Source organism: Homo sapiens, chromosome 2 (assembly GCF_000001405.40).
Source record: "Homo sapiens chromosome 2, GRCh38.p14 Primary Assembly".
Lineage (NCBI taxonomy): Eukaryota > Metazoa > Chordata > Mammalia > Primates > Hominidae > Homo > Homo sapiens.
The window spans coordinates 75,772,536-75,780,255 of NC_000002.12; the positions used below are offsets into that span (position 1 = coordinate 75,772,536).

The 7,720-nt window shown below is 38.4% G+C and overlaps 1 annotated feature.

Annotated features, from left to right (window-relative positions):
- Positions 293-996: an enhancer, noted in NCBI's record as "NANOG hESC enhancer chr2:75999954-76000657 (GRCh37/hg19 assembly coordinates)". NCBI's record gives its function as "activates a minimal SCP1, AML or CMV promoter by ChIP-STARR-seq in naive and primed H9 embryonic stem cells {active_cell/tissue: H9 hESC(naive and primed)}" and the evidence as "EXISTENCE:reporter gene assay evidence [ECO:0000049][PMID:30033119]".

Sequence of the window (7,720 nt, forward strand, 5' to 3'; positions counted from 1 at the left end):
GCACATTTTTACAACTCTATAAGTTGCAGATAATTGATAGTAATGCATGATAATTCTTGTATATAGGCATGCAACTTCTGTCCTATCCAGTGGAACTTCAATTGACACTCCTCGTATACTGTGAAAGAGGCCAGTTTTGCTTCCATTTGCAATTCATTTCAATATTCCTAATCTATAGCTATGTCTTTTCTTTGGCTTCTCCTTTGAACCAGCTTTCATTTTACTGGTTCTCTTTCTGAGTAATAAGTTAAATCAAATTATTACATGTGTTTGTTTGATATTTGTGTAAGAGTCAGGATTTTATCTATTTAAAAAATTACCCTTTGACACCTGGCACAGTTCCAGTCTCATCAGCATTTCCAAATTCCATTCTTATTTCTAAGTTTGGCTGTATAACTTTGGAGAGACCCTACTGTTAATAGCTGATTAACATTTTAGGTGCTAGTTAGAAAAACATAGTAGAAATGGACACTGATCAGGAGTGGAGCCTTATCTGATGCTTCTGGCAGCTCCGCAGGTAACTACTGTAGGGGAGGAACAATGTCTTGTCCTTCTATCCTTCTTAGGTTCATTGGCTGGGGCCCCGGTAACAAAAGACAGATTAACAAGAGAAAAGCATGCAAATTGATTTACCATGTTTTTCATGGCACAAGAGCCTTCATAAGGAAATGCAGACGTGAAGAAATAATTAAACCGGAGTGTTTTAATGGTAGGTTTGATGAAGAGTCAATGACAAATATGATGGGGTAAAAAAAAAAAAAAGAAGAAAAGATTATGAGCTAAGGGTAATCAACTGGAGGAAACAGCAAAGCCTGTTTGTTTTGATTCTTCTTGACATCCTTTGTCTTGGAGATAAGGATCTTCCTTTCCGTGGATATAAGGAAGGCACCATGAACATGAGAGCCTTATGACCTGCTTCAGGGAAGAAGGGCAGAGGAAAGTCAGAGAGTCCCTCTGGAAACATGTTTCTCAGATTCTTTCAGCTTAAAATAGCCAACATACCAAGGTCTCATATTTTGGGGTAGTGTGATCTGAGCCCCATCATTACTGTGTAACCTGGTTTGCCCAGACAGAAAAGTGGAATACATTTCTTTGATCTGTTTTCATCAGTAGTTCTCGGTGTCCTTTATGTGATATGGTCAGCCTTTTATTTATCTAATGCACTTTGTTCTCATATTCAGGGGGAAGGTGATATTTGTTCATCTTCTTGCTCTATAATGTTATGGGTTGTTTGCTTTTTAATGTTCTCAAAATGGCATCAGGATTTATGGTATGATTCTTCTGGCTCAGTGAACCTCGTATCTCCTGTTATTGGCAGTGCTCCAATGCCTGCAGCTTCTGAGGGAGCCAAATAATAATAATAATGGCGATAATGATTTGCCCAGGCATTGCAAGATGCTGTTCATGACAAGAGGATTATTTTTTTTTCCTCTGACACCTTCAGAGGACAATCAGTTGATCTGAAACACAAGATGTCATGAACTCATAAGTGTAATAATTGAGGATGCATTTCCTGTTTTTCCCATAGGTCCCTTCATTATTGAAGCTCTGATAGTACACTCACATTTGACTCCTCACTTGTCAGGCAGTACCTGCATTGCCTTAGGCTAAGTTAGTTAATGTCTTTAAATATCAGTTTGTCCTTTTGTTGTATGAGGGTAGGGATAGTACCCATCCCCAAAAGCCTTGCCCATCTTCTTCTGTCTGTCGGCAGCTCCCACCAGCTCCCTGGAGGAAACCTCTTAGGTCTCAACTCACTTTCTCAGGAAGGGTTTCCCTTCTCTTTTCCAGGTATGATATCTTGCAGAGTTTTCATCACACTGTTCACAGTTTGTAATAATATTGAATAAGTTTGTTTATTCAATTTCTGCCTCCCCTTCTAGTGTATATAGTCCATGAGGGTATAGGTGGTGTGGGTTTTTACAACCCTATGCCTAACACTGGATGCAGTGCCAGGCGAGTAGTCAGTGCTCAATAACAAATTTGTTGAACAAATGAAATATTTAAAACATTACCCAAAACAGGGAAGTGCTTAATAAATGTTAGCATTTCTGCATTCAAAGGGAGAAATTTAGGACATTTAAAAAGCAGTAGATTGAAAATGGCCTCTTTTGGAGATTGAGATAAGCTAGGAACATCTTTTAGCATGACTTTATTGTACATGATATGTATTCCCTAATTCCCAATATCTACTTAAAAATTATATTTCACTCCAGAAGGCTCTGAAATGCTTAGTAATGTTCTGTCCTGGCTTTTCATATTATATTCTGTGTACCAAGCATCTTGTATGTTGATAGTATCTGGCTGATCATCAAATTAATTTTTATGAAAAGCTGCAAAGGCAATTGAAATTTCTTGACTGAGACTTTTAAAGCTCTGCGCCAGGATGCTACTAATTCTGTAGTTCTACTTAGTAAAAACAAACAAAAATGATTATTTAAAACAGTTCTGCATTTTCTTCTGCTGCATCACATCCAGATTATTATTGTGTGATGAACGATACAAGCCATCAATAAATACAGAGACAAGGGATGCCATGGGAGAGTCTTTGTTCGTTGAGAGGATTGACAGTTAGTCTACTAAAACCAAGGTTTCTAATTTTATTTTCCTTTATAAGGTATAGTGTAAGGATTCTCAGGGAGACAATTAAACTGGGCATTTTTTTTCCTTTTAAAATTGTATTTGGTTTGCTCAAAACGTGAGCTTAAAATTATAGCCATAGTTTTGCCTTTGGCTTCACCTGGGGGTTTCTGAAGTACAGTCACTGCTTCCAGCATTGATATGTACACACGGGTTACCATTAATGTTAGTCAGAGCTCTGAGTGTGTGACTGGCTTAGATCTCCAGGTGAAAGCTCAGCATTGCAACTCAGATGCTTGGCACGTGGGTCTTCCATTGGTGAAACACACAGAAAGCCTCTAAATCTGCCAGTGTCTTCAATGGCCTCCCTAGATGGTGATTTCTGTTATCTTTGCCCACTCAATGTGAAGCTTTCCCATTCATTATTGTGTCTGAGAAGCTCCGTGTTAGAACAGAAATGAGTTAATTTATAGGTCATTTATTGCAACTCCATCATTTTGTCAAAATGGACAGTGTGGCTTGGAGGGGTTAAACACCCTGCTTGCTGAGTAGTGGCAGTATTGAAAAGACAGTCTAGATTGTCTGATTCCTGGGTGAGAGCTCCAGTACACAGAGCTGCCTTTGCAAATGAAGGCAAAGGGGTTGTTTTTCCATTTATTTTTAATATATCTTTTCTTTATGGTTAGAGTTTGGAACCTGCAGGGAGGAATGTCTGTGTTTTACAACCTTCACCGTTGTTAATTGTACTTGGCAAGTCAGTTTGTTCCCAAAAAAGCTTAACAAAGGTTCTTGCAAAATGACTGAGGTCCTTGTCACCAAGAAGCTGAGTAAAAAACCGATTAAACATAGTTTTTAAACAGAGTCTGGTCATGTCCACACACTGATGACTTTGATCCTCTTCAAAAGCACTAGTAAAAATTGCCAAAGAATTTCATCAAGTACTCCTATCATTAATACTTTTTAAGTGAAGAAATCTAGTAGAATCATCCAGAAGTTCCACAAAGGGCTTATAAAGCTTTACTTTTCAGTGAGCTGGGGATTTTTTTTTTTCGAAACTGTAATTATTTTGCTTTCCTTAGTGCTGTAATTTCGTGTTGGGCTTCTTTTGCTGTTATTATACCTAATGCTGTGAATGAAATAGCATCTATGCCAGATGAAGAGCTGCCTGCCTTGGGTAAAACCCTGCTATCTCTTTCACATTCATACCATTTCCACTAACCCTTTCTCAAGCAAGCAGGCCTTTTAGTAAACCACCTGTATCTATATCTTAGCCCTTTAAGGCAGGAATGAGTCTTTTGTGTTCTTGCAAAACACCATGCACACAGCATGTAGAATCCTGGCTTATTTAACACACACCAGAAATATACTGGAGCACTAAAGAACTCCTTATCTATGGGTTTCTGAAGTAGGCTGGAGGGTTGGTTTCTTCTCTCAAAAAATTCATCAGAGGCAGCTAAGCTTGCAGATAATCCTCCAGGTAACTTGGGAGTCCTACACACGGAATTCTGTGAAGTGACCATCTTCCATTGATCCCTTGAATTTTGGAATTACATTCACCTTCTTTTTTCAGATCCTTTGATATTCAGATTTGTCTCATGTGGTATTTCAATGTGAGAAAGGAGCCCTAACATTTTCACTTTTCAAAACCAAAGTCTTAGATCAAATAAAGGCTGCATATCCCTTCACCAAAGACATTTTAAATTCTCATCTGTAGCAGTATTTTAAAAGTTTAGATGAAGGGAAGGCATTCTTCTGCCTAAGCTTGATAAATAAAAAAAGTAATATGGTTACTCTGAAACTCACGTTATTATTTTTTGCCTGTGTTTATATTCATGGACATAAAAAGAGTCAAACATCTATGTCTTCATTGCAGCTTGTCAATACTAACATTCTAAACTCACTACCATGTAGGATTTCTCCCTAAATGTGAGCACCAGGGCAACATCTCTTTCAATCTTAATATATCTCTTCTTACATCACTTTGGGGCCTCCCTTTCTAGCCACCTGAAGCCCAGACTTCTAGGCCTGTCTTACTATTGCCAAAATGCAAAGTCTGGCAGCTATCCATGTGCTACGTTCCTCCCATCAGATGAGCAAGGTGTGCACATTAGGCCAAGCAAATGACCTACTGCTTCTTAGGGTTACCAGGTTCAGTTTTTGCCATTTCCACAGTGACTACACTTATTCAATTCACAATGGCCTTTGTCTTAGGAAATAAAAGAGTTTCATTTTTGATCTCTCCACTCCATCTCTTACTCCTTGCCAATCTTCTCATGACTTCCAGATAAATATTTTTGAAAAATAAATTGGACCACACTATTATGCTATTAAAAACATCTTGATACTTTAATAAAAATATCCACACTCCTCAGTGTGGCCTACAAGAGTCCACAGATCAGTTGTCTTCCCACTTCTCCAATATCACTAAATGCCTCCTTTCCCTTGTCTGCTACACTTCAGTCTCTTCTTTCTGACTTTTGAACATGGCAGACCTTTCCTGTTTTGAGGCTGACTTTCCCATGTCCAGTTCCTTCTGGCTGGGCTCACCCTCTCACAGCTCTACACATGGTCTGACTTTTTGTTATCTTTCAAATCTCTTCTTCAGTGTCTTTTCCTCAAAGAGGGGCAGTGACAGAGATGGCCACGTCTCCACCAACATTTGTATTCTCATTCTATAAGGTATAGTTGTTTTGGAGAAGTGGCTATCCAGTCAGGGTCTATGTTTCCCAGTTCCTCTGACATATAGTGAAGTTATGTGATCAGTTTTCACCAACAGATGTGTGCACAAGTGATGTGATCATTTGTGTGCTAAAGGGCTTAAAAAGTGGCCTTGACACTGGAGGCATCATGCTACCAGAATTCAAACTATACTACAAGGCTACAGTAATCAAAACAGCATAGTACTGGTACCAAAACAGACATGTAGACCAATGGAGCAAAACAGAGACCTCAGAATTAACACCATACATCTATAACCATCTGATCTTCAACAAACCTGACAAAAACAAGCAATAGAGAAAGGATTCCCTATTTAATAAATAGTGCTGGGAGAAGTGGCTAGCTATATGCAGACAATTGAAACTAGACCCCTTCCTTTCACCTTATACAAAAATTAACTCAAGATGGATTAAAGAATTAAATGTAAAACCCAAAACTATAAAAACCCTAGGAAAAAATCTAGGCAATACCCTTCAGGACACAGGCACGGGCAAAGATTTCATGCCAAAAACGTCAAAAGCAATTGCAACAAAAGCAAAAATCGACAAATGCAATATAATTAAAAAGAAACTATTATCAGAGTGAACTGACAACCTACAGAATGAGAGAATATTTTTGCAATCTATCCATCTGATAAAGGTGTACTCTCCAGAGACTACAAGGAACTTAAACAAATTTACAGGAAGAAAACATAACCTCATTAAAAAGCAGGCAGAGGACATGAATAGATACTTCTCAAAAGAAGACACTCATGTGTCCAACAGACATATGAAAAAAAAGCTCAACATCACTCATCATTACAGAAACGCAAATCAAAACCACAGTTAGAGATGCCACCTCATGCCAATCAGACTGGTGATTATTAAAAAGTGAAAAAACAACACATGGTGGTGAGGTTGGGAGAAAAAGTAATACTTTTACACTGTTGGTGGGGGTGTAAATTAATTCAGCCACTGTGGAAGACAGTGTGGTGATTCCTCAAAGATCTAGAGGCAGAAATACCATTTGACCCGGCAATCCCATTACTGGGTATATACCCAAAGGAACAGAAATCATTCTATTATAAAGATACATGGATGTGTAAGTTCATTGCAGTACTATTTACAATAGCAAAGACATGGAATCAACCCCAATGCCTATCAGTGATAGACTGAATAAAGAAAATGTGATACATATATACCATGGAATACTATGCAGCCATAGAAAGGAATAAGATTATGTCCTTTGCAGGGACATGGGTGGAGCTGTAAGCTGTTATCCTCAGCAAACTAATGCAAGAACAGAAAACCAAACACCAATGTTTTAACTTATAAGTGGGAGCTGAATGATGAGAACACATGGACACAAAGTGGGGAACAACACACACTGGGGCCTGTTGAGGGGGAGTGGGGAGAGAAAGAGCATCAGGAAGTATAGCTAACAGGTACCGGGCTTAATACCTAGGTGATGGGTTGATCTGTGCAACAAACCACCCTGGCACATGTTTACCTATGTAATAAATCCACATGTCCTACACATGTACCCCAGAAATAAAAATAAAAGTTGAAGACACAAAAAGTGGTCTTGGCTTTTCTACTCTCTCTGCTTCTGTTCATCGACTGAAAACAAAAGACTCTGAGGTTCTAGGCTATGACAGAGGCACAGGTGAAAGAAACCTGGGTCTCTGAATCACTACGTGGAAGGCTGCCTACGGAACAACTTATTGGACTGTACGTGAGGGAGAACCCAAAGTCTGTTGTGGTAAGCCACTGACATCTAGGTGTTTACCTTTTGCAGCAAATGCTAGCATTACCTTATCCTAGACCAGAGGCCTTCCCTAAACACTCAACTTGCTTAAACCCTAAGTAGGTAGGTATGGCCCATCAGTTTCTGAAGTAGGCTCCCTTATTTTCTATCATTACACTTTATACATTTTCTTTATAGTAGATACACGTTATATATTTGTTTACATAATTTTTTTTCTTCTGTCTCCCCCTCTAGGCTATATATTCTATGTGAGCAGGAAAAGCATATCCTGTGTCTAATACCACACCTGGCACATTAATAGGTATTCAGTACATAGTAGAATGAATTAAAAAATAAGAGAATAAAAGAAAAGGTTTTAAACTGGTAGTAAAACTAAAAATGGCACAAAGAGGATATCACTCATCTGGCTCAGGAGCGGAAGCTTGTAGATTTAAGTGGAAGTGGTAGAGATGAAGACGTACTACTCCTTAGTTTGTATACCACTACAAATTATGTTAACAGCCAGATGCCTGAATCTCCTAATAATATCATTGGTCATACAGGATGCAGAAAGAGCAAAAAATAATCATTATACGTTTTGCTTATATAGTTCTTTACTACATACAAAAAACCATGAGCACTAGTTTCTTGAAAATGAACTAGTATTTGTTAACTGAGATGTGGCAACAGTAGATAA